Source organism: Homo sapiens, chromosome 4, assembly GCF_000001405.40.
Source record: "Homo sapiens chromosome 4, GRCh38.p14 Primary Assembly".
Lineage (NCBI taxonomy): Eukaryota > Metazoa > Chordata > Mammalia > Primates > Hominidae > Homo > Homo sapiens.
The window spans coordinates 154,754,118-154,781,936 of record NC_000004.12 but is presented as its reverse complement, the minus strand read 5'-3'; the positions used below and the strand labels follow the sequence as shown (position 1 = coordinate 154,781,936).

The following is a 27,819-nucleotide window of genomic DNA, read 5'->3' as shown; positions in this document are numbered from 1 at the left end:
TCACCCAGCCGTCGGGACGCCCCAGACGGCGTCCAAAGCCTCCAGGGGACGCGCGGACCCTACAACGGCCAGGCAGCGGCCCGGGCCTGCAGCGGTCGTTGGTCGTCGGCGTAAGCGTGTCAGGAAAATAACACGAAATGCAGCACAGGTGGGAAGCGGCCGGAAGGCAGCGGGGGAGAGCGGAAATAAGGCGGAGAGCGCAGGGCGCCGCGGGGCGGAAGAGGCCGCCAGACGCCCCAAAGAGACTGGCCGCTGGGCCCTCACCATGCAGCGCCTGGGTGACGGCGAGGGCGCCTTCTGGCCGGATGCTGCCGGGGCAGGAAGCAGCGTCTCGGACACTTGCCCTCCCACTGCTCGACGGGGCTGGGGAAGGACGAGGGTGAACCCCGCAGCCACCGCCGCCAGCCCCCACTGTGTATTCGGCGTGAGAGTGAGCCGGGCACTATCCAGCCGTTAGCAGTGGTCTGGTAGTGACCCCGTTTCCCCTTTCCCCTCCTCACCCCTTCGGGTCTTCAAATGTTGGTCCTAAATCCCGGGGCCCAACGACCAAAAACCGCCGCCACCGTTTAGGGGACCAGTCGGTCAGAGCGAGGGGGGGTCGTCGCAGGGGGAGGGTAGCCCACCGGGACCGCTCGCGCTGGTCCTCGTGTCTCCACTCGTTTCCCAGCGCGCAGCGCGCGCGGTGGCCTAAGCAGCCCCACGAGGAGTGGTGCCTCATCCAATCAGGGATTAGCTTCGGGGCGGGGCGAGGAGGAGAGAGTGGGGCTAAAGTTTAAATGAGGCTCTTGGGCTAGTCAAAGTGCTTGGAGTGACAGGCATTTCGAGCAATTGGGGTGAAGAGAGCGATTTTTAGGGTGTGGGTGGGCACGGAATAATAAATGAAGGTCCTAGGTGCATTGTTTAGGTGTTTGAAGACGAGGGCTGCAGTGTGAAATTCCGCACTTAAGGGAAAACATAGATGCATCGTAATGGTTCTTTTTCTTGTTTGATGTAGTTTTCTTGTAAACTGCTAGTTTGGCGCAAAACAACCACATATATCCGGTGGACCTTTGAAATTAAGGGCTAGGGGGAGGTGGGTTATAAAGCTAAAAGATGGATTTGCAAATAGGACTAGAAGTATAAAGTATAAGTGGTTTAAATGACAATGACTAAGAAAATGGGTTAGATGAGGAGAACTAGCGATAGGCTTGACGCTACCACTAATCAGCTTGCAGGGACATTTGGCAGAGGCGAACTGCCGAACTGGGTTCTATGCTCTTGTAAAACCAACTTTCACAGATAGGGTTGTTTGGCATTCGGTATGCATAACTTCAGTTTTGCTTCCTTTGAAGACAGCTCGAAATTAAATGCAGACAAGGAAAGAAAAAACCACCTTTAGGAACCAACTATTTATGTATAGATAATATTAGATTCATGGAATATTAGACAATAAAGAACCTAGCTCATGTTGATTCTCTAATTAACAAGGAACTTCATGCCCAGAATATTCACCGAGTAACACAGATCTCCTTATTCCCAACCTCAAGGTGATTTCTTCCACATTAACTCCTAATGTATTTTCTCCATATATTCAAGGAACTAATGAATGTCTACCAATTTAAATTTTGTTAAAGTATATTTTTAATTTTTAAATATACTACAACAGTGAGGAATTAGCAGGGACTTTGGAGCCAGACAGACCCTGTTTAAAGTGGGGATTGTGAGAATAAAATAATATATGATATTACCAAATATTGAGCCAGATGCCAGAAACAATCCTAAGGACTTTTCATATTTTCATTTAATTCTCACAGTAACTTTGGTAAAGTTACTAGCCCTACTTTGCAGACGGGGAAACAGATGCAGAAACCTTAAGTAGTTTGGGCAAAGTCATATAGCAAGTAAGTGGCTCCAGTTTGAAACCTACAGACATAATTGCTATACTATACTGTCTCAAAATACGTCCAGAAACAAGTAGAAAACTTGGCATAGTACTTGATGCACACTGGAAGCTCAACAAATATTTTTTGTAAGCCGTCTGCCCTTTAGTCAATGAATACAAGTGTCATTTTATATAAGATGTATGCATTCAAAATAAAGCAACTAGAAAACCTAGACTGATAGATCTAGTTGGCTTTGTTTGACATGTCACCAATTCTGTACCTCGGGAACTGTGATTGTTATATTGATTACTATTTTTTGCTGCTCTTTTATTTCTCCAGAAAAAGATTCTCCTCATTCTTCATTTTCATGTCGGTACCTTCTCAATTCCTAGTAATTAATTCTAAATACATGTGTTTAAGGTTAAATTATCTGAAATGAGGTTAGGCATATTAGTGGCAATTTAAAACAAGTAATTTCTAGGAATGGCTGTAAGATCCTTAAGGAGTCACTAGGTGGAGATGTTGTGAGGTACAAAGATTGTTCTTGGAAATAGCCTGGAAGGTTGTTGAACATTGCTGGTTTTCTTGTTTCCCTTTTTGTCTTTTTTCTCCCCAAGTATAAAGAAAACCAAATAGACAAGGGCTTCTCAATAGGCATTACAGTCAGACCATAGAACCTTGCCATAGATGAGACAGTGTTGTTTAAAGACCCTTCCCATACTTAACATTGTATGTCATTTTGGTTAGATTTTGTCTAAGTTTTTATTATCCTAAAGTTTATTAATAGGTATACTTTTCAAATGCTATAAAAACTATTGTCTGCATGTACAATTAAAGAAATGACCTTTAACTTTATTTCTCAAGGCTCCCAGAGAAAGAGATCCAAAACACTTTTATCAGCTAGAATTCTTCAGTAACAGATTCCAAATTGGATTTGTTTTAAGATTATTTGAGCTTATGGGAAAAGGTGACCCAAATGAGTAAGAAGGAAGATGATAAGCAATGTAAAGGTGTTTGTGACTAAAAAGAAGTGTCGAAAGATACTTGGCATACAAGGGAGAAAATAGAAGGGGATCTCTGCAAACACCAGAAAGAGAAATAATAGTGACTGTGTGACATGGGAAGTAAAAGTTATCAATAAAAAATTGGAAGGAGCCGGGTGTGGTGGCACACACCTGTAGTCCTAACTACTTTGAGTTAGGCTGAGACAAGAGGATCACTTAAGCCCAGGAGTTTGAGGCTGCAGTGAGCTATGACCGTGCCACAGCACTCCAGCCTGGATGACAGAGCGAAACCCTGTCTCAAAAAAAAAAAAAAAAAAAAGGAAGAGATGCAAAATTCAAGTGGTTAAAAATAGTCTGAATACATGTATTTTCCCCATATAAAATGCAAGCTTTTATATCACTTAGAAGTTAAGATGCAAGCTTTTATATCACTTAGAAGTTATTTTCATATACATTCTGCAAAATACACCCCCTGACAAAGGAAAGAGAAGCAATGGGAAATCTTTAAAATGTTTAACATCCAACTTAGTCCTCTGTTCCATATAAATGAGCCTGTGCAGTGATCTGGTTTATTTTCCATGTGTTGGAGCTTCTTCAGCTTCCTTTATCACTGTGGCAGTGATATGACACAGATCCACCAAAAACATGGCAGCTACTTGCATGTTTATAGAATTAATGATCTACAGCACATCGCTCAGGAACAAGGAACTCTTTAATGTGGTGAATCTTCAATTGAAATGTCATCTCAAACCTGTTTTGGAAGTGTGGATTTGGGGTTTTGTTTTATTTTATGTGTGTAGTAAGTATGTTTATTCTAATTCACTGACCCTTACTTTCTTATCCTGGTTTAATGCATTCTGCCTGACAGATGAATTTGAACTTTTCATTATACTGGAAGGTGAGCATCAGCACCAAGATGACTATATGTGGCGGGAGAGGCGCATTAACATTGCTTTTTTCCAGTTATGGTGATGAGCCATATTTACATCCTGTCAGTGTACCCCCTATGATTAACAACCTCACTTCCCAAGGCAGCAAATCAGAACCTGAGATCTTCTTCACATGTAGCTAATGGCCTATATATGGACCAAACCCATGACCAAGGCCTCAGTTGACATAGGGGCAAACTAAAGGAAGTACTCATAAAGCTAACCCTTTTCAGATTGGTATAAGTTGTTAGTTAACATCAGGATCCACTTATCTAATTATTAAAAATAAATACATAAATAAACCACAATAATAGAAATAGGTGATGCGAAAGGAAATACACATTTTTCTCTGAGAGATCTAGGATTAACTCACAACATAAGAAACTAATATATGTAATAAAAAATAAGTTTCTGATAATGAAGACTGATTAACTTTGGTTGAGAGAGAATGTGATTAAATCTTTCCTGTCTTATCTCACTGGATAAGTTTGGTAGTGTGCTTCCCTGGGTAACAAGTTACAATGAAAACTAGAGCTGTAAGACACCTTAGCAACCATTTGGCTGGGAAAGCTGAAATTAACTTGCCCCAAGTCAAAGAGCCAGTCAGCAGCAATACTGGATCTCCAACTCCTCTCTTCTAACTTTCATTCTGATACTCTGGTTCTCCCAGAAACTTTTAAATTGCATTTTAAGTTTTTTTAAGCCATCATAAATATATTCCATGAAGAAAATTATTTTGGTTGAGGACAACAGGGCCAGCATTGGTTCAGGCACTTCAGTACACCTGGCCATGAAGGATGTGTGAGGCAAAGCACTTTCTTAGGCATGACATTTCTCTCTTAGCACTCCATGGATGGCATCTTCCCTGGATGATTCCAGCTGGGACAGTCCAACTCTGTCATTTGTCACTGCAGAGGAAGCAGAGAGAGACTCCCGTTTGGTGCCCAAGAGGGCACTTTGCTTGCATTTCTCAAATGCAGGAAATAAGGAGAGTCCATGGAACTCGAAGGGGAAAGAGGAATGCCATTATGACCCATAATGCAGTCTGGGTTCTAAACTAAGCATCAGATCTTTCTAATGAGTCACTGTATCTCTCTTAATTTGCATTGATCAGCTTGTATCCACAGTCACTAGGGCATCCCTGAAATCACGGGCTTTTTATGTTTTGCCACCTTTTACGTATTCCACTCCAATTCTGATTCTTAATAAATTAGATACATTTCTCTCAACCTGTGTCTTAACAACACTGAATTACTAAACCCTTCTGACGAGAAAAAAGAAAAAAGGCCAAAAAGCAGTCTTGTTCTGCTGTCAGAATAATTAATTCAAATGTAAACTTTTGAAACATCTACAATCTGTAATTCTGGTTTTCACCTGAGTCCTGTGGCCCTATGTATGTTTGGCAGGCTAACCAGACTGAGTTAGAACTTCCTCTCTGATGCAGTCCAGTAGCTCTGTGTAACCCAAATAGAGGTCTTTAGTTCTATTAATAAATGTTATTCTATGAGATAGAATAACTCTGTAGTATGTGTTTAGTGGGGTAAAGATTGGGTGAGTAGTTTATAGGTCAATTAGTTGGAGGTTCAAGTGGTAAGAAGGGAGTGATCAGTGGAATGACTAAGACATAAATTCAGAATGGGTGTTCAGAAGATTGATTCAGAAGATCAAATGAAGATCAAATGAATGAAATGAAGCAAGAAGAGAAGTTTAGAGAAAAAAAGCATGAAAAAAACGAACAGAGCCTCCAAGAAATATGGAGTATGTGAAAAGACCAAATCTACGTCTGATTGGTGTACCTGAAAGTGACAGGGAGAGTGGAACCAAGTTGGAAAACACTCTGCAGGATATTATCCAGGAGAACTTCCCCAATCTAGCAAGGCAGGCCAACATTCAAATTCAAGAAATATAGAGAACGCCACAAAGATACTTCTTGAGAAGAGCAACTCCAAGACACATAATTGTCAGATTCACCAAAGTTGAAATGTTGGAAAAAATTTTAAGGGCAGCCAGAGAGAAAGGTCGGGTTACCCACAAAGGGAAGCCCATCAGACTAACAGCAGATCTCGTGGCAGAAACTCTACAAGCCAGAAGAGAGTGGGGGCCAATATTCAACATTCTTAAAGAAAAGAATTTTCAACCCAGAATTTCATATCCAGCCAAACTAAGCTTCATAAGTGAAGGAGAAATAAAGTCCTTTACAGACAAGCAAATGCTGAGAGATTTTGTCACCACCAGGCCCGCCCTACAAAGAGCTCCTGAAGGAAGCACTAAACATGGAAAGGAACAACCGGTACCAGCCACTGCAAAAACATGCCAAATTGTAAAGACCATCAATGCTAAGAAGAAACTGCATCAACTAACAAGAAAAATAACGAGTTAACATCATAATGACAGGATCAAATTCACACATAACAATATTAACCTTAAATGTAAATGCTCCAATTAAAAGACCTAGACTGGCAAATTGGATAAAGAGTCAAGACCCATCAGTGTGCTGTATTCGGGAAACCCATCTCACGTGCAGAGACACACATAAGCCCACAATAAAGGGATGGAGGAAGATCTACCAAGCAAATGGAAAACAAAAAAAGGCAGGGGTTGCTATCCTAGTCTCTGATAAAACAGACTTTAAACCAACAAAGATCAAAAGAGACAAGACCATTACATAATGGTAAAGGGATCCATTCAACAAGAAGAGCTAACTATCCTAAATAGATATGCACCCAATACAGGAGCACCCAGATTCATAAAGCAAGTCCTTAGAGACCTACAAAGAGACTTAGACTCCCACACGATAATAATGTGAGACTTTAACACCCCAGTGTCAACATTAGACAGATCTACAAGACAGAAAGTGAAAAAGGATATCCAGGAATTGAACTCAGCTCTGCACCAAGCAGACCTAATAGACATCTACAGAACTCTCCACCCCAAATCAACAGAATATACATTCTTCTCAGCACCACATTGCACTTATTCCAAAATTGACCACATCGTTGGAAGTAAAGCACTCCTCAGCAAATGTAAAAGAACAGAAATTGTAACAAACCGTCTCTCAGACCACAGTGCAATCAAACCAGAACTCAGGATTAAGAAACTCACTCAAACCGCTCAACTACATGGAAACTGAACAACCTGCTCCTGAATGACTACTGGGTACATAATGAAATAAAGGCAGAAATAAAGATGTTCTTTGAAACCAGTGTGAACGAAGACACAACATACCAGAATCTCTGGGACACATTTAAAGCAGTGTGTAGAGGGAAATTTATAGCACTAAATGCCCACAAGAGAAAGCAGGAAAGATCTAAAATTGACACCTTAACATCACAATTAAAAGAACTAGAGAGGCAAGAGCAAACACATTCAAAAGCTAGCAGAAGGCAAGAAATAACTAAGATCAGAGCAGAACTGAAGGAGATAGAGACACAAAAAAACCTTCAAAAAATCAGTGAATCCAGGAGCTGGTTTTTTGAAAAGATCAAGAAAATTGATAGACCGCTAGCAAGACTAATAAAGAAGAAAAGAGAGAAGAATCAAATAGACGCAATAATAAATGATAAAGGGGATATCACCACCAATCCCACAGAAATACAAACTACCATCAAAGAATACTGTAAATACCCTACACAGATAAACTAGAAAAACTAGAAGAAATGGATAAATTCCTGGACACATACACCCTCCCAAGACTAAACCAGGAAGAAGTTGAATCCCTCAATAGACCAATAACAGGCTCTGAAATTGAGGCAATAATTAATAGCCTACCAACCAAAAAAAGTCCAGGACCAGACGGATTCACAGCCGAATTCTATCAGAGGTATAAGGAGGAGCTGATACCATTCCTTCTGAAACCATTCCAATCAATAGAAAAAGAGGGAATCCTCCCCAACTCATTTTATGAGGCCAGCATCATCCTGATACCAAAGCCTGGCAGAGACACAACAAAAAAAGAGAATTTTAGACCAATATCCCTGATGAGCATCAATGCAAAAATCCTCAATGAAATACTGCAAACCGAATCCAGCAGCACATCAAAAAGCTTATCCACCATAATCAAGTGGGCTTCATCCCTGGGATGCAAGGCTGGTTCAACATACGCAAATCAATAAATGTAATCCATCATATAAACAGAACCAAAGACAAAAACCACATGATTATCTCAATAGATGCAGAAAAGGCCTTTGACAAAATTCAACAACCCTTCATGCTAAAAACTCAATGAATTAGGTATTGATGGGACGTATCTCAAAATAATAAGAGCTATTTATGACAAACCCACAGCCAATATCCTACCGAATGGGTAAAAACTGGAAGCATTCCCTTTGAAAACTGGCATAAGACAGGGATGCCCTCTCTCACCACTCCAGTCAACATAGTGCTGGAAGTTCTGGCCAGGGCAATCCGGCAGGAGAAAGAAATAAAGGGTATTCAATTAGGAAAAGAAGAAGTTAAGTTGTCCCTGTTTGCAGATGACATGATCGTATATTTAGAAAACCCCATCGTCTCAGCCCAAAATTTCCTTAAGCTGAGAGGCAACTTCAGCAAAGTCTCAGGATATAAAATGAATGTGCAAAAATCACAAGCATTCTTATACACCAATAACAGCAAACAGCCAAATCATGAGTGAACTCCCATTCACAATTGCTACAAAGAGAGTAAAATACCTAGGAATCCAGCTTACAAGGGATGTGAAGGACCTCTTCAAGGAGAAATACAAACCACTGCTCAACGAAATAAAAGAGGACACAAACAAATGGAAGAACATTCCATGCTCATGGATAGGAAGAATCAATATGAAAATAGCCATACTGCCAAAGGTAGTTTATAGATTCAATGCCATCCCCATCAAGCTACCAATGACTTTCTTCACAGAATTAGAAAAATCTACTTTAAAGTTCATATGGAACCAAAAAAGAGCCTGCATTGCCAAGACAATCCTAAGCAAAAAGAACAAAGCTGGAGACATCACACTACCTGACTTCAAACTATACTACAAGGCTACAGTAACCAAAACAGCATGGTACTGATACCAAAACAGACATATAGACCAATGGAACAGAACAGAGCCCTCAGAAATAATACCACACATCTACGACCATCTGATCTTTGACAAACCTGACAAAAACAAGAAATGGGGAAACGATTCCCTATTTAATAAATGGTGCTGGGAAAACTGGCTAGCCATATGTAGAAAGCAGAAACTGGATCCCTTCCTTACAGCTTATATGAAAATTAATTCAAGGTGGATTAAAGACTTAAATGTTAGACATAGGCAGTACCATTTAGGACGTAGGCATGGGCAAGGACTTCATGTCTAAAACACCAAAAGCAATGGCAACAAAAGCCAAAATTGACAAATGGGATCTAATTAAACTAAAGAGCTTCTGCACAGCAAAAGAAACTACTAACAGAGTGAAAAGCAACCTACAGAATGGGAGAGAATTTTTGCAATCTACTCATCTGACAAAGGGCTAATATCCAGAATCTACAAAGAACTCAAACAAACTTATGAGAAAACAAACAACCCCATCAAAAAGTGGGCGAAGGATGTGAACAGACACTTCTCAAAGGAAGACATTTATGCAGCCAACAGACACATGAAAAAATGCTCATCATCACTGGCCGTCAGAGAAATGCAAATCAAAACCACAGCGAGATACTATCTCACACCAGTTAGAATGGCGATCATTAAAAAGTCAGGAAACAACAGGTGCTGGAGAGGATGTGGAGAAATAGGAACACTTTTACACTGTTGGTGATACTGTAAACTAGTTCAACCATTGTGGAAGACAGTGTGGTGATTCCTCAAGGATCTAGAACTAGAAATCCCATTTGACCCAGCCATCCCATTACTGGGTATATACCCAAATGATTATAAATCATGCTGCTATAAAGACACAGGCATACGTATGTTTATTGCGGCACTATTCACAACAGCAAAGACGGAGCCAACCCAAATGTCCATCAATGATAGACTGGATTAAGAAAATGTGGCACATATACACCATGGAATACTATGCAGCCATAAAAAGGATGAGTTAATGTCCTTTGTAGGGACATGGATGAAGCTGGAAACCATCATTCTTCAGCAAACTATCACAGGGACGAAAAAACAAACACCGCATGTTCTCACTCATAGGTGGGAATTGAACAATGAGAACACTTGGACACAGGCTGGGGAACATCACACATCAGGGCCTGTCATGGGGTAGGGGGAGGGTGGAGGGATAGCATTAGGAGATATACCTAATGTAAATGACGAGTTAATGGGTGCAACACACCAACATGGTGCATGTATACATATGTAACAAACCTGCACGTTGTGCTCATGTACTCTAGAACTTAAAGCATAAAAATAAATAAATAAATAAATAAAAATAAAAGTGTTCCTTTAAAAAAAATAGGAGCGGAATGACATTTGTAATGTCTAGAGTTTAGAGAAGTCTTGGATAAAGTATGTTGAAATTGATGGGCATGTGACTCTAAAATTAGGTTTTAGACAATCTATGTGGCTCTTATTCATTTATCCCTTGATGGAAATTATGGTGAAGCTTAAATTCCTGCAGATCCTAAAGGAAATTTTTCAGCCAGCCTTCTCTTTAGCCTCTGGAAGTATTCTTAGCTGGCACAGAGACTTCATCCCCTTCATCACTGGAAAAGTGGTTCAAGGGCATGTTCAACATTGCTCAACAAATATTTGTCTGAAACTTCCTGATTTCTAATAATGATAGCAAGTCTAATGAGTTGTACTTCAAAACATTTTTTGAGTCAAAGTGATAAGGTGGAAACACAGTGGGCTTTGGAATGAGACAGGTCAAATGCTGGCAGTGTGACTTCGGACATGAATTATTTAGTTTCCCAAGTCTCCACTTTTACATAAGTTACTTTTTTTTTTTTTTTTTTAGCAATATTGTCTCCCTTGTCTGATTGTTGTCTGGAATAAGGAAGATGCTGTGTCTGTCATGATGGGCTGGGTTATGCTGCAATAATAAACAGTCCCACAAATTCCAGCTTAAAACAACAAAGTGTATTTCTCTCTGGAGCTGTGGTGTCTGTAGCTCTGATCCTAAGCAGTCATCCTTCAGCTCTTTACTCAGGAGTCAAGACTGATGGAGCATCACTGGTTGTTACATTGCAGGTTGCCATGGCAGAGAGAAAGGAGACTCTGCAGGGTCCTGCATGGGCAAGTCAGTGCTAGGTTCTAAAATGGCAAGTCTTTTTCAGGTACAGGCTGTGATACAGGTGGTGGTCAATTTCAGATTCACTGTATCTTCTAAGAAACTGGTGCAGAGTCCTCCTCTTCCTCATGCAGGTTACCTTCTGGGACATTCCAGCATCTGCAGGGCCATTAGGACTACATGTACCCATGTGCCTGCCCCTTTCTGGCATGGAACCTGGGAATGGACCGTCATAGTCTAGTGGGATCAGCCCATCTTTGATCAACTTCCAGATCTGCTGGCTAGAGTTGGCATTGACTGTTTGGTTGGTTTCACTGGGATCCTATGAGGCCTTTTCGTCATGGCAGAGGATGCTGGAGGCATGCCTCTTCGGTTGCCTGAGCAAGATGTATGGCTGTGGCCATGGTACTCAAAGAAAAATAACATATCTGACTTTTTTTCTCTTAAAAATTACATTATCTTTTAGGTGAATGAGAATCAAGCAGATTCTCCTGAAACACATCCGCAAGCTGAAGGCAGAGAAGGCCTGCAAGAAGCCCCTGGCTAACCAGATAGGCCCCCAAGGTTAAGACCAAGGAAGTACAGGAGTGCCCCGAGGAGCCACTTCAGGCCAAGAAGGAGGTAACCAAGACTCTGTCCAAGCAGGAAGAGATGAAGACATGAAGGCCCCCCTCTCTTATGTAAGCATAGTGGTTAATGTGGTTTGGCTCTGTGTCCCCACCCAAATCTCATTTCAAGTTGTAATCCCTGTGAGTCCAGGGAGGGTCCTGGTGGCAGGTGACTGGGTCATGGGGGCAGTTTCCCCCATGCTGTTCTCATGATAGGGAGTTCTCACAAGATCTGATGGTTTAAAAGTGGCAGTTTCCCCTGGACTCTCTCTTTCTCCTGCTGCCTTGTGAAGAAGGTGCTTTCTTCCCCTTCATCTTCTGCCATAATTGTAAGTTTCCTGAGGCATCCCCAGCTATAGGGAACTGCAAGTCAATTAAACATCTTTTTTTTTTTTATAAATTACCCAGTCTCAGGTAGTATCTTTATAGCAATGTGAAAATGGGCTAATTATATCTATCAGTCACTCAGTAAAACAAGCCTTCATCTGCCATAAGAAAAAAGATAACATTATAATTAGCCGAATAAATATATGTGTTGGATTTTGTTTTAGTAAGGCATGTGTGAGTTGATTATGTACCGTTTGTTGTCATGTCTGAACACAACCTCCTATGATATGTATGTACACGGTTAAAAAACACACGAAACCTAGATACTGTTTAGGCTGAGAACTAGAATGACCACAGGGGCGGTCAGCTTCTCACCTATGGGGTGGACACTGTCAGGTAAAGTTAATAAGAAGTCACTCAGTAAAGATTTAACACTAGATTTCTCTTTACAGTAGAAACTTACCTCACTAATTCAGATTAAAAGGAGGAAAAGGGATTTTGTCTTGAGAAAAAATTAAAATATTTTATATGTCCAGACTAACAATAAGCATTTACCGTTTTATACAGAAATTTGAAAAATAAATTCTGACCAAATGACTTCTTTTGAGAACAGATTTATTGAATACATAAGAGTGATTTATAGTGTACTTGCAAGTAAATGGGTATAAATAAATGACTTCTTAAGAAGTGTTTGGGATCTTTAAATGATTGTCTAAAGTAATTTAAGTATTCTGTCTTGTACCCTTGGCCATGCTACTAATTTTTTTAAACTCTTGCAGAACTAAACCTTAGCCCATCCCTGTCAGGAATGTCACAAAATACAAATTGTTGAGATCTGAATTAATGAGACTTTAGGTATATCAGTACATAATTTAAAGCCACTATGTTACTGGTCTTAGTAGTGACAAGGGAATAAGCAAATTGAATGTGTTACCAATTGTTAATTCATACTGAGGTTGCCAATTTACGCATTAAGAACTTAAGAATAAAGGAAGTAGGGATTTAATACAATGGGAGAAGATACTGAATGAGTTCTTTTTTTTTCCCTTTCCCACCTCCTATGATAGATTTATTATTTTTCTGCTGATATGAAAATGATATATTCTATTTGACTAACCCACTACAACCTATACCTATCAACATTTGTGTTTTCTTTCTGATTAAGACAGGGACTTCAGAACTCTCTCAGCTCCCTCTTTTCTTCCCCACTTCCCCAGCCAAACTACACATACCTGCTTTGTTGCTGTTACATGGAATTTTAGTTTTGGATCATCATTACACACACACACACACACACACACTCACACACACATTTTTTTCTTAAACATTATTTAAATTAGTTATTTACTCAACCCTTATTCCTGTATGACTGCCTAGATTTATTTCTCTTAGGATATTTTTTCCAATAGTCTTTTCAAAATTGGGCTTTGAATACAAACTTTTTGAGCCTTGAATGTCTGACATCATCATATTTCTTGCTCCATCATTTTTAGATATTAGTTTTTCTAGGTATAAATTCTTTTTACATCAGTACCTTGAAATAGTACTTCATTATGTTTTTGCCTCCAGTGTTATTATGGATGAGTCTGATGTCAACCTAATCTTGTTCTTTTGAAGATTTTATGTTCTTCCTTTATGTAATCACTTATTATTTCTCTCTCTTTGATCTTAAATTTTATCACAATGTATCAAGGTATAGGGTTTTTTTCATCTATTTTGTTGAGTTATCTATGATAATCCATCTGAAGATTGAAATCTGAAGGATCAGAGATTTTTATCTTTCTTTGATTCTAGACTATTGTCAGTCTGTTAATATTTCCTTCTTTCTACTTAATTGTTTTCCTCATCAAGGTTTGCTGTGAGTTACGTGACATGTTTGTGTCTCTCCTACATCTCCCACAAATAGCTCTTTTGTATTTCCTACTCCTTAAAATAGTAATAGCTTATATTTATGCAGGATTAGTTATTTGCCAGAGACTCTTATGTGTACTGTGCATATATTAACTCATTTAATCCTCATTACAATCATATAGTGTAGGTACTATTATTATCTACCCATTTTATAGATGAAAAAAAGTCATTACATATTAGTTAAGTGAATTGCTCAGAGCATTTCAGCTAATATTTGGCAGAGTTGAGATTTGAACCCAGGCTTCGGGATCCAGGGTTGCACACTTTTAACCACTACGCCATGTGGCCTTTTATTTGTCCCTGATGCTATTGGTAAAGTTCTTTGACTTTGTAGCTTTCAGCTCCTAATTAACTTATTGGTTGTATCTGTTCTGCTATTTATCTTTCCTGTTGAGATTTTACTTTAAATCATATTTTTAATACATAACTGTTTCCACCTTTTTTTTTAATAACTACTAGTTCTTGCTTCGTGTTACTGTTAGCCTCCTTTATTTCTTGGAGAATATATGTTAGTTTAGTTTCATTTAGAAGATATTAACTTAATCTACTATAGCTTGTTTATTGTGTAGGTGTTGCCCTATTTGGTTATCTAATATTCTTTGTGAGTTTATAGTCACATCTGCAGTCTTCATTAGTAATGTGAATTGGCGGCAAAGGACAGTGTACCCTTCTTAGTTATTTAAGGAGTCAGCAGCTGGCCATCAGCCAGTAGAGTCTTCCTATGTTTTAGTCATAGTACCCAGTGCTCATGGAATGAATAGAGAAGAAGGGACAACTCCAGGACCTGCCTCTATTTTTATCTACTCTTCACCACAGCCAACACAACCCTGATGTAACTCTCCCACTAGGTGCCCTAGCTAGTGCTGACATTTTCCTGCTTCTCTGTCAAAGTTGTATTCCACCCAGTAGAATTTGAGAGAATGAAATTATATCACACAAGCTCTTCCCAAAATTTCTCCCACAATGATGTCCACCCTGCTACATCCTGACTGCTGTTTTTTGCCAAAACATTTTTAGTCTTCTCAGAGTTTCTCACATTTTTAACAATAGGTTTTTATATCCTTTGAGGTCTGTCTTGAAATTGTGACATCTCCAGGGTTTGGTCCTGGGGAACTGCTTGCTGCCAATGCAAAGTAGCCATCTAATGAGGAACCAGAAACCCTGAACTCAGTCGTTAAATAAATATAGAAGTGGGAAGATAATGTTTTTGACATAATACAAATAAACAATTCATAATGTTAATGAATATTATCCCTCAGTGGTACTGAATTGATAAGCTTATTTTGTCATTTCTTGCTAATGATACTTGCAAACCTGTAAGGACGGACTCCAAGGCTTCCCTCTTTTTTCATCACCCCATCTCCTTAGAGGAAGTTTAATGGAGGAAGTATAAATAGACTATAAATGGAACTTGGCTTCTGTAACCATCTTCTGCTATTCTTTCTTTCTCTTTTGCCATCATGCAATTAGGGTGAGCTGAAAGTGGGCATGGTGGTGTCCAGGGGATGAAAAGCTGGTTATGGATTTGGGCTTGTAACCCTGGCCCCAACAAACTGACCTGGTGAACATTGGACAAATGTGGCAGCACTGGGTTTTCATTCTGTTATTAATTTTGATGATGTTTGAAGAAGTAATTGAAAAATGGTTAATTTTCAGAAAAGTGATCCTATTTTCCCATTTATTAAAATCCTAAAAGAATAGGTTTAAAATAATATATTTTATAAAGTTTAACAGATGTTTTATCTTCTGGACAGAAACACACAAGGAAGATGAAACATTTAATAAAAGGAGAAAATACGGGCCAGGTGCGGTGGCTCACACCTGTAATCCTAGCACTTTGGGAGGCCAAGGTAGGTGGATCACCTCAGGTCAGGAGTTCAAGACTGACCCTGTCTCTACTAAAAAAAAAAAAAATACAATATTAGCCAAGCGTGGTAGTGCATGCCTGTAATCCCAGCTACTTGGGAGGCTGAGGCAGGAGAACCACCTGAACCTGGGAGGTGGAGGTGGCAGTGGCAGTGGCAGTGAGCCAAGATCACACCATTGTACTCCAGCCTGGGCAACAAGAGTGAAACTCCATCTTAAAAAAGCAAAAAGGAGAAAATACAAATCATAACTATCATTTATTGAGCACTTACTTTGTTAGACACTGTACCAGAACTTTAAATACCTTATCTCATTTATTCTTCACTGCAATTCTATGAAAATTGCTATTATTATCTCTATTTTACCTAGAAGGAAGCTAAAGCTTAGAGAGTTTAGGTTTCTTTGTTTTGTTTTGTTTCAGCTATCAGTTTATTGACTTATAGAGTCTGTCAACTTGGGTAAGCTGACAGACTCTATAAGGAATCTGGAAACTCAGGAAAATAGCCAAATTGACTAACCCTATTTTAGAAATGTTGGCTAATGAATGTGCTGAAGGGTGCAGGTGACTATTTCCAGAATTTGTAGTGAGAATCCCATAGATCACCAACAGGCATCACCCTTTACTTCTGAGCACCACAAACAACTTCTCATTCAAGTAACTGGTATTTCATTAGCCTAATTATCACAGTAATGAATTGCCATAATGTTGGAAAACATATCTGAGAAGTTGGAAATTTATTTATAAAGTGATGTCTTATGTGTGCAGGTATACACATACGTACATATATATTTGTCCATAGGTATATACGTGTGTGTGTATATATATATATATAGATATATAATATATCTATATATATATATCTAGCCTAAATATATATATATCTGTATATGTATTTATATATATATATATAAAATAAGATACCGTAAAAACAACACAGTGAGCACTTAATTGCTTGGTGTGTGGGACTGGTTTTTGTTTTCCTCCCCATGAGACTAGTAGTATTGAAGGACTTGGTACGCCTACTGGACTCACGCTATCCTGGTAGCAAGCTCTGGAAGAGACACCAGAGGCAAAATAGCCACCATATTTAAGAAACCGTATTGTCACTGCAAAGCTGCTGCTCATTGTTTTGTGGTTCATTCATATACCTAGACCTTTCAAAGAAATAGAAAAATGATCCGCCAGGTGTTCCTCAAGGCTGTCCACAATTAAGAAACATTTTCTCTGGTAGCTTGCAGAAGAAAATTAGGGGTGGAAAAGAAGACTTCTCTTAACAATTTATTTATTCTGCAGACCTTGATGGACCATCCCTCACTATTTGTTATGGTACTAAATCCTGCAGAATACAAGTAAAGGTATAATGTATACCAGCCCTGTCTCTGGTCTATCTCTAAGAAATAATTATAAAATTATTTATAGATCTTGTATCTCATGGCAGGTTTTTCAAAATTTGATTGTGTCTAAGAATTGTCCTAGGTGTTTATCAAAAATGCAGATTTCACAACCCTCATATATTTTAAATCAGGAGAATTAGCCAGTGGCATTAGGTCAGCTGCATATAAGACAGCAATCTAAAATAACTTCAACTGCTTCAATAAGTTAGCAGCTTATTTCCTCTGGAGGAAGACAGTCCAAGCCCGACCTGCTGGCACCATAGGGACCCAAGGTTCTTTCTGTTTTACCACCCTATGTGCCTGGCTTCCATCCACAGAGTCACCTCATGATCTGGAATGGCTTCTTGTTTCTAGCCATGCTGTCCACTTACAGGCTAGCAGCAAGAGAAACGGGAGAAGAAAACTTTGTATTCTTTCCCATTGAAGGAGGCTTCCTGGAATTCCTGCACAGCATATCTCCTTTTATTTGATTGGCCAAAACTTTGTCACATGGAAAAGAAGGCCAAGTGTATGGCTAATTCCACTTAAGTCAAGATCATCTTACTAAAGAGGAAAGGGACTATGATGTTGGGGTAGCCAACTAGTAAGCTCCAGTAGATGTAGAATGTTGCCCCAGGAACCTGAAATTTTAACAAGTTTCCTGAGAAATTCTGATGCAAGCGGCTCATGGAATGCACATTAAGTAACAGTATCATAGGAAATCAGAATAAGGGGGAAATTGGCTGATGTTATGGCGGTTTTTTAAAGTCTATTTGATGGAGGCAGTAAGCCCAAGGAAAATGTACTCTCCTTTATAATGAATATTGGAAAATTGGGTATCAGTGTTAATTAAAAATTTTAATTAACTAAGTATTGCCTTATTGTATGTGTGTTATTTTTCCAAATATTTAGAAGAAACACTGAGCACACACATGTACACACACACAGATTGATCTGTGCGAATCTTTCAGGTGGAAAGACAAGTGAATCTTTCAGGTGGAATCTTGAATGATGTAAAACCTCAGAATTATCAGTACGATTGCTAATTATAACTGAACAGTTATTTTACTTTTCTAAGTTCTGATTTCAGAGAAAGAGGTGTTCATTTATAAAACATGCTTTGGTTTGTATTCCTGGCTTCTATTATTTAGGCTACACTTCCCTTCCTCCTCCTTTCCCTGACAAACAAACTTTCTTGTTGGGCAGCTTTGACCAAAAAAAAAAAAAAAAAAAAAAAAAAAGCACTTTACAGCCCATATCCTTTCTCTTCATAAACTGATTGCTTTAAAAGAACCATCACATCCAGTTGCTGTGAGCCAAGCCAGTCTGGCCATTACTGGAATTTCCAAAAGTTCCAAAAGTTCGGCAGCTGGGTCAGATCAGTCCAATGGAGTGGGTAGAGGGACTAACAGCCACCCCAGGGCTCATGGTGCCACCCAGAAACCACAGGGCCTGGACGTGCTCCCCAAAGTTTGGCAGCAGGAGGGCCAAGCAGCTGCTTTGATTCTGAGAGCTCAGTTGTGGTGCAGAAGCTAGAAGACACAAGGATCTCTTTAATAAACGTTATCAGAAAGAATTGATATGTAGGTACTAGGAGGAACTGTAAGCCTAGAAATACTGTTCAGAATATGAAGGGGGTGATACTACCTACAGCCTCTTGGTTAGCATTTATTAAGGACATCTATGTGCCAAGCCCACTGGAGGGCTCAACATACTTTAACCTTCACAGTAATCCTGAGAGGTAAGTAGTAATACCCCCATTTATACTAGAGAAAATTAAAACAGATAATTTTCAGTGGATGTAATAACTTTCAATGGGGATCATTTTAATGGAGCAAGACAAAAATGTCAGGCCTTTTTGTTTTATCACAGAGATTTCCCCATGAAGACTGAACAGACTCATCAGAGAAAAATGAAATTGTGGTGAGGAACTGCAAATAAATGTGATCATATTTGTGAAACAACACAGAAAAATTAGAGAACTGAATAACAAAACTTCCAGTTTGACTAGTTATATTCCCATTAAATCTAGAAATGAGAAAATTATTCTGACAGTCTCCCATTAAATTAGATGGTACACAAACAGAAGAACATCCAAGAGAGGAGTAGTGTTTTTTAATTTATTTTATCTATATATATTTTTAATGATGAGAGTAATGATGGAAATGGGTAATGTAGCCAACCTAAAAGCTCACATGCTGAATTGATGGGGTTCCCACAGGCAGAGAGTGGGGCAAACACCCCGGAAAACTGGTGCTCTCAGAGCCAGTCAAATCCACTTCATATTGGTGCACGTCAAAATGGTTTTTTATATGATAGTCATCTGGGCAACAGAAGAAATTTAAGAAGACAGAAAGGAAAAATCCTTTGTACCTTAAACCCAGAGCCAATCTTAAGAATAGAGATTTCAAACTTTGGGATAAGATAAGCAAAGGATTAAATAGGAAATTTACAATGCATGGAGATAAGTGTGAGGTTTATGCATGCATGTAAGCCGCAGCCTGAATAATATCACCACTAATACTGTCAGGCGTAAGATTGAGAGACCACACAGACCTACCCTCTGCATTCTGATTGTGAGGAAGACTTGGTGTTTCTTCTTCCAAACCAGAGCAGAAACAGGCACAGCACCTGCTTTGTGCTCAGGTACTCAGTATAAACTTGTTGCAGGGAGGAAGGCAGAAAAAAGAACAAGAATGGTTGGTTAGATGTTTGAACGTAAATCTCCTGAGCAGCTAGAAATGAAAGATCTTCCTTACCTTGATTGCCTGTCTGTAGAACTTTATAAAAAATAAAATAACTCTGGGAGAACATGAAATTCTATTCACGCTTTATAATTTATGAGTGCTATGTACACTGTGACTACTAGACACTAAGAAACTCCTTTGAAAAGTGTATAATTTTGTTAAGGAGTAAGACAAACTATAAACAAGGCAAACTCATCAATTTCAAACTTTCAGCATAGAGGTGTTTTGGAATGGCTCAGCCTCTTGAGCTGTGCCTCCCTCCACTGCCCATTTTATCTATCATCTATAAGACGGGGTTTCATTGTGTCATCCAGGCTGGAGTGCAGTGGCATAATCATAGCTTACTGCAGCCTTGACTTCCCAGGCTGAAGTGATCCTCCCACCTCAGCCTCATGAGTAACTGGGATTACAGGGGTGCACCACCACACCTGGCTAACTTTTTAATTTTTTTAGAGACCATGTCTTGCTATGTTGCCCAGGCTGGTCTCAAACTCCTGGCCTCAAGTCATCCTCCTGCCTCAGCCTCCCAAGTAGCTGAGATTACAAGAATCAGCCTTTGTGCTCAGCCTCCCATCCTCCATTTTAGAATCCCTGGTAAAAGAAGGGTGCTGGACCTGCATCCACCAATTGAGCCCCCATCTGCAAAGGACACTTGGTGTGGTCTTTGTTTTCCCACACTGCTGCAAACGTTCAGGCTGGCACTTAGTAAGTGCCTAGAGGGGCCATGTGGAGCTGGAAGGACTGTCTTTATAAGAATAGACTGGACCACATGGCCTTCCAACAGGCACTGTCATGAACCACTTGCCCTGCCTGTCTTCCACTTTGCCTTCCAACACATTTCCCATCTCCTAGGCTAATTTCTTCTTCAGGACCTCACCATTCTGACCTGACAGTGGCCTCGCTCTTGGCTTCTCAACAACATCAGCAAAGATTCTAGGGCTTGGTTTATAAGTGCTAAAGACTCTGAGGGAGAACTATAGGAGGATTAAGGCCTGTCCACTCTTAGAAAATGGCCAAGACAGATTTCTGCTGAATCAACATTATGTATGTCACACATGTAAATGATATCCTTTGATTTGTAACCAGGTCTGTCATTGCAATAGGCCTGGAGGCCTTGAGAAGGATTGCACCATTGCCCACTCGTGGAGAGCCAGGGTGGTCCATTTGCCATCACTGCATCCCAGCTTCTCAGCATTGGACCAGGTGAGTTTCAGCACTGTAATTTGGAATGCACATTTTGTTGCCCAGAAATAACTTTTCCTTATACACCTAGAGAGTAAATCCCAATTACCAAGATGCCCAGTTTGGGAACCTATGTGTGCATCTGTATGTATAACAACAAACAAGATACAGGGACACATCTCTTACTATTACAGGCTTTTGTTTTATCTTAATACCTGTTGTGACGTTGCTTCACAAAAGGAAGTTGCTTTGCCAACAGTTCACTGTGGAATATAGATTGTTCATAATGCTGTCAGCTCATAAACACCATACTGTCCTCATTGGGGACTGCTGAACATGAAAAGTATGTGGTGTAACTGGGTGCAACTTGCATGGCTACTGTCTTAGCTCAAGCTGCTATAAGAAAATACCATAGACTGGGTGACTTGACAGACATTTATTTCTCATTGTTCTGGAGTCTGAGAAGTCCACGACCAAGGTGTTGGCAGATTCCATTCCTGGTGGAGGTCATTTTCCTGGCTTGCAGATGGCCACCTTCTCACTGTGTCCTCACATGGCAGGGAGAGAGAGAGAGAGAGAGAGAGAGATCTCTGGTCTCTCTTCTTCTAAGAACACTAATACCATCATGGGACACCACCCTATGATGTCATCCAACTCTAATCACCTCCCAAAGATCCCACCTCCAAATACCATCACACTAGGGGTTAGGATTTCAGTATATGAATTTAGCGGATACACAGATAGTCAGCCCATAACAGATACATTAACAAAACTAGAACCAGGCATTAATTGTGTCAGCTTAAATTTCAGGCTCCAGGGGCAGGCACTGCCATATCTTTCCATACTACTTCCCTAGGTAAGGATTTTAAGAAGTTAAGAAGTGTTATATCATGTTGAACTTTATAGTCAAAAAGCACATTTATTTATTAGAAATAAATGTGTTGCCTTCTCATCATGTCAGGTGGCCACTGGCTAACTGTAGCACTGTGATCTTGGAAAGAAAGTAATGACTATATTTACTTAGTTTCCCTACAAATAGGGCATGTGATATATTACAGAATTTTGAGTGAAAATACTGAGGTATGAGTCTTAATATAACATCACTGATTATAGGATCTTGAATAAAACATTTAGTGTGTTTAGCCTCAGTCTTCTTGTTTGTAAAATGAGAATCACAGTTACCTTGTTGGTTAAAATGGCTATATGATAAGCTAAGTCATTTGATATTTATAGGCTCAGTTTCTTCTTTGCCTTATGGGGGTGACAGTTATTAAATGAGCAAACTTATGTGAAAGTGTGTTATGAAATAATAAATCCTAAAATGCTATATATTTTCTGAAGCTGTTTTCAACTCAGATAATTGTAACTCTGTGGTCACAACATACCTTTTCCATGAGAATAGAAACTTTTGTCCTTTACCTCTGTAGCCCCACTACCAAGTTCAATGCCTAGCATATTGTGGACAGTGAATACATGTGAACTGAATGAAAGGAGTGAAGGAACTGAATTCTCTGTCATGGGAATAAGCTGGCTGCCTTGCCCTGCCAGGAAAAAGTTAATGCTTAAGGCTACAAATGTGGAACCCTACAGATCCTCTGGGTTCTTGGAAGAACTCCTTGATTCTACCAGGTATCTTCCATACCATGCAAAATTTATACAAGTTATTAGAGCCTGGCAAGGAAAAGAATCAAGCAATCCAAAAAAGGGGGCAGAAGGGATAAAAATTGATCTTTTCTACTTTTCTAAGAGTCTGCCCTGCTGTCTAGGTGGGACAATAACTTTGGGATTGAAGTTTTTCTCTCCAAATAAGCTACCAATGATACCAGTGTGGAATAAGAATCATATCTGCTGGAGAGCTTGCAAACAATACATCAATATAGAATCCCCAGAGCAGAACAGGGAATAAGTGTCAGGAAAGTCAGATTTTTGCTCTGGTTCTGTTACAAAATTTCCTGGAGTTTCCTATGTTATTATAGGTCTCTAACTTGCATATAAACAGAAGGGATTAGATTGGCTCTAGCCTAAGCCTCTCTATCATCCGGGAGCTCTGAATGTGTTGTCATCTCTGATTCAGTAGATGATCACACCAACAGTTGCCATGGCTGTCCACTTCTGACTGATAATTACTGGAGTTCAGGAGTGCTCATTATCTAAAGATTCTCCCCTACACTTGGGCATCCATGGCTCCTCAAGAAACTTGTGATCCCATTCTGTGCTATTATGAATGATATTCAGCGTTGGTCACGTAACTACAAGATAGGATTGCCATTTCACTGCACTTTGATCATAAATCAGCTTGGCAAGTTTGTGGTGACATTCCATAGTTTCAGTATGTTAATAAAGCTTTCACGCTCTGGTCTCTTGCAGAGTGCTCACTCTGCACGTTGCATCTGTTCACCTTGCATGGAAAAGTCCAGAAGAGCAGGTGAAGTCCTTGAGAGCTAAGGCACCTGAGCCTAGACATGATAGGAACATGAGCACAAAGTTTTCTTTTACATTGGAAAAAAATAAAGACCAAGTTCTGAGAATGAAAGTTGATTCATTTTTCTCTAAGTAAGAAAATAAAAATAAAATAATAATAAAATGTAAAGGGGAAACTGGCAAGTTGACAAATTTTATGTAATTAATTACACTGTAAGAGGGTAAATGTCCGAACTCTCAGGTAAAGCCATGATGACAATTATTTCAGTGATGCCCATTGAAACCACACAGTACCCCAAAATAGTGACTGAAACTTGTATTTCTGCTCTATTAGAAGAAGAAAAAGACTGCCACTAATCTACACCATTCATTCCCACTTTCTAGTACACACTGAAGAATGGACTTCCTTTTGCGGGGATAAGTTTGAGTTTGAAAACCAAGCAAAGGGCCATATTTTGAGACTAGAAATCCCACAGCTGAGGTGTGTTGAGAATAAATGCAAAAAGAACGTTGCCTCAAAAATATCTGATGAGGGAGAATCCCCATTACACTGGCTCGCAGGGTGGTCAGGACGAGCACTAGCAAAGTGGAGAAATCTGGCTGAGCTGTGGCGATGCACCAGCTGCTGCTGCAGCAGTGAGATGAACGCTGCTGGTTGCCTGCTGCTTCACTTCACAGAGGAGGTGCCCCTCAAACATACTGAGGTGGTGCAAATCCACTTCCTTCAATCTCATTTTCAGATTTTCTCCCATCTTGAATTATTCCTTAAATGCCTTTATATTTTTAAATATAAAGTTTATTGTCACCTCAACTTCCCATCCAGAAAAATTGCATGTAGTGTGAAATAATTTACCATGGTTAAATTCCCTGGCAGTCATTTGTCTGTGACTTGTCAGAGGTAAAGTAGAGAAAGATGTGTGTGGAGATGTGATGTGTAAAGAAGAGAATTGGGGGCATGGGGGGATTAAAGAAGAAATAAATCTTGATGTTCATCAAGCATGTAGCAATTGCTACCTTTTAGGTTTCTACCCAGCAGTGAGACACCTGGTCAGATCAGGTGTCTAGACCAACATAAAGCTTATGCCTGAACAGATTCTTGGGGGCAGCTGCTGCTGAGCCAGGCTTAGCAGACAAGTGTTGTTTATCTGATAAATTTTTGAATTTGGAATCATTGTTTGGCTCATCATAAACAAGAAGGTTTTTTCGGGAATACTAACATATTCTTCTTCAATGGATGGTGATTCAGTCAAGTGCCAGATAAAGTGGTCTCAAGATGCTATGTGAATTGGGTTAGTATAGGACAAAGGGATAAGAAACCATTACTTTGTCTGGTTGTCATTGGCTCTGTTAGCCACCTGGATTTATTTAACCTTCAATTCTATTTTTCAATGAATAATTTAATTATAAAGAATCTGAAGTGTTTATGAGGTCATGCTGGTCAAAAAGTTTCCGAAAGTTTGAGTCTTGCACTGTGTCTTGATCTCTCTGTTCTATCATTCCGTGAAAGGGAAGGAATGGTAATGGACTTTCCTCAACAGGTTGTTTGAATGAGAGCCCAAGAATCGAGAGTCCCATGCAGTGCAGTTTTAATTTCTACCCTTTCCCAATCCTCTGAGCCTGTTAGACTCTGAATCTGAATATGTGTTCTTTTCAAAGAAGCCAGTAGAAATGAGAATGCTCATTGATTAGACTGAACCTCTGATAGTAATCAGTCTTGGAAAAAAAGTGCAATTGTGATAATGTCACAAAAAAAGAGTGTTTGTCCCTCAGAAAATAATTACAAAAATTAACTTGCAACAGGTCACGGTACATTTTGTTCTAAAGCATGCGGAAGTAGTAAGAGATATCACGTTATACTGCTTTCTGAGTCTTTGGGCTTTATCTGTTTCTTTCTTCTCCCACCAAACTGCTACAAAGAGAAGCTCGTAGTCATTTTCCATTTAAATCTCAACCCACAGTCTGCCTTCTCCCCGCAACCGCAACATCCCTAACACCCCCATACTTGAAGTTAGTGGAATGCCTATTAATCAAGGTCACTCACAGTCTCCTTTTTGCCAAATCCAATGTAGGCACTAATCAGTTCTTATCTCATTTCTGTATCTTGATGCTGTTCACACCCATACCTTCAAAAGCTCACTCCTCCTTGGCTTCCTCATACAATCTCTCCTGTATGAGGTCTGCTCTAACTTTTTGTACCATTATTTTGCAGTCTCCTCCTGGAACTATTCTGGATCATTCTTCCTTCCCCTTGTTTGTGACCCTAGTCTTCCATCCTTATCTTAAAAAAAAAAAAGTTCTTCATAAACTTCCCCAGGATGGTCTAGCTCACTCACATCCTTGGCCTGAACCACCACTGTTATAATAACTCCCAAATACATTCCTATCCCTGAACTCTGTCTTATGAGACTCCAATTTCCTATTGCCTACCTGTGAGAACTGTGAGACCCTGGGATACTCAGACTTCATAGATCCAAAACCAGATTCATACTTCTCCCAAGCCTCATTTTTAAAAAATTCCCTAAATTAGCCATGATGCCACAGTACAATCAGTCACACTAATCTGGTGCCTGCCTCTGCCTATTGTCCCTCAGATACATTGTTGCCTTGCTCAGCAGGCTGTTTTCCAGGCTCTCCTGTTAGCTGGTTTCTGCATTAGCTGCCCAATGTGAAGTCCTCACAGGAGATTGGAGGGTAAGAGGAAAGGAAAGGAGAAGCCACGGTATCTCTTATGCACACACACCACTAGACAGTACCTAGAATGGTTTTTGTTTCCTTGGTTGGACCCTATATGAAACACTCTCCATCTTTCACACCCCTCAAATCAATCCATTCTCTCCCCTCCATCTCCACTCACACTGACTTCATCTAGTCTTCATCATTTCTCTTCTGCATCTTGGTAATAGACTTCATATTCTTTAATTTACATCTCGTCCAATCCATTCTCTATATTGCTACAGAATAAGCTCTCTAAAGTGATCGTTAGATATAGGTCTCCCATTTAAACTAAAGCAGACAGCCATCCTCCAAGTGATATCAGTTATGAGTAGCTCCTTAAGAATAAGAGTAGATCTCCATGCCTGGGAACACATGGTCGTGCAATTTGGCAACAAGTGATTAGCCTAAGGATGTCACCTGATCTGAAGGTACCAGACCTAAAGGCCATCAGGGGAATCAATGGTCCATTCAGTAGCCTGGCTAGAGAACTGTTTACTGTGACCACAAATATTGCATAGTGACTGGTCAGCTTGGTTAGATCCCTTTGCAATTTTAAATGAAAGACGGCGACCAGGTACAGTGGAGCAGAAGCTAAAAGTAACAGGGTAGAAGTGTAATGAAAACCACAAGGCAGCAGAAACAATGGTGCAGTGTGAGTTAGCGGCAGTAGGTGGGCCGCCACGCGAGTAGCCATCATAAGCTAAATGGGAGCAAATAGCAGCACCAGAATCCAGACTCGAGAAGAAGATATCACTAGAGTCATTTGAGGATGCAGGAACAGTTGTGAGCTGAGCAGGGAGCAGTGACTATTCATCTGCTGAGCACTGAAGTGATTTCTGTACTTTCCACTTCTCCTTGTAACCTTAAATGAAACCCCATCCAAAAAAAAAAAAGTGTTTCTTTTCCTCACAAACTAACTGCACACCTCTTCTTCATGTGTTTCAGAAAATCACATGGTCCTAATACTCACGGGACCCAGTTGCAAAGTTTGGGAAATGCTTTCTTTCCTCTCCAAACTTTCACAATGCAAAGTCCTCCGTGAACTTGCCTCCTGTCTGCAGCATTATCTGAGTCAGACTTGTTCTTCTCCAAAGGAATGGTGAGTTCTTTGTGGCAGGACTGGCACCTTTCTCTCACAGCAACAATATAATCTCAAGTGATTGTTCTTAACGCCCTGTTGTAACCCAACTGTGATATGGGTTCTCCTGGCTCCATCCCTTTGTGTAATAGTTGCTCCTCCCTGTGCCTGAAAGGCCTGGAAAAAGGAGGTCTTTTTCACCTTAAGTGTTCATATTCTTTACAGGTCAGTTAAGGTATTAATGAAGACTTCTGTGACGTGACACCCCTCTCCTTTATTGGTCCCCATCAGACAGGTAAAGGTTTCATATCTGCTCTTCTGACACTTGTACAAGCCTACCATTATTTTAAAATCTTGCCATTCTTTTACATTAGTCTGAGCAATTCCAGGACTAAGATTCTAACCAGTTTATTCTTGTGTGATCCTGCTTAAAGTACATAGAACGTGTGCAAGAAATAAATACATTCATTGGAGAAAAGTTTTTCTAATCCCTGGGAGACCTCAGGGAGCCATTATACCTCAGGGAGGTATAATGGAATGAAATCTGGAGCAAAGTTCTGAGTCTTTCTCTGAAGCACCTCAACCCCTAGGAGCCTGATTTTCCACATCTTTAA

General features: G+C 39.9%; 1 protein-coding gene and 1 long non-coding RNA gene across 9 annotated transcripts in view; one reads left to right on the top strand and one right to left on the bottom strand.

Moving 5' to 3' along the window:
• The window catches only part of RBM46 (RNA binding motif protein 46), a 47,542-nt gene extending 46,877 nt beyond the window's left edge, over positions 1-665 (bottom strand). For 4 of the 8 annotated variants that reach the window (NM_001277171.2, XM_006714120.2, NM_144979.5 and 1 more), the window contains exon 1: positions 501-665. The gene's annotated coding sequence lies outside the window, so the exon portion shown is untranslated. Of the gene's footprint in view, positions 1-4; positions 93-264; positions 433-500 lie in introns of those variants that run through there. The other 4 variants (NM_001277173.2, XM_011531693.3, XM_011531695.4 and 1 more) reach the window with 3 other exon arrangements.
• Positions 64-27,181, top strand: LOC105377500 (uncharacterized). Its single transcript, NR_188451.1, has 4 exons — positions 64-148; positions 11,443-11,656; positions 20,896-21,012; positions 27,073-27,181. It is a non-coding gene; the product is annotated as an uncharacterized LOC105377500 (long non-coding RNA).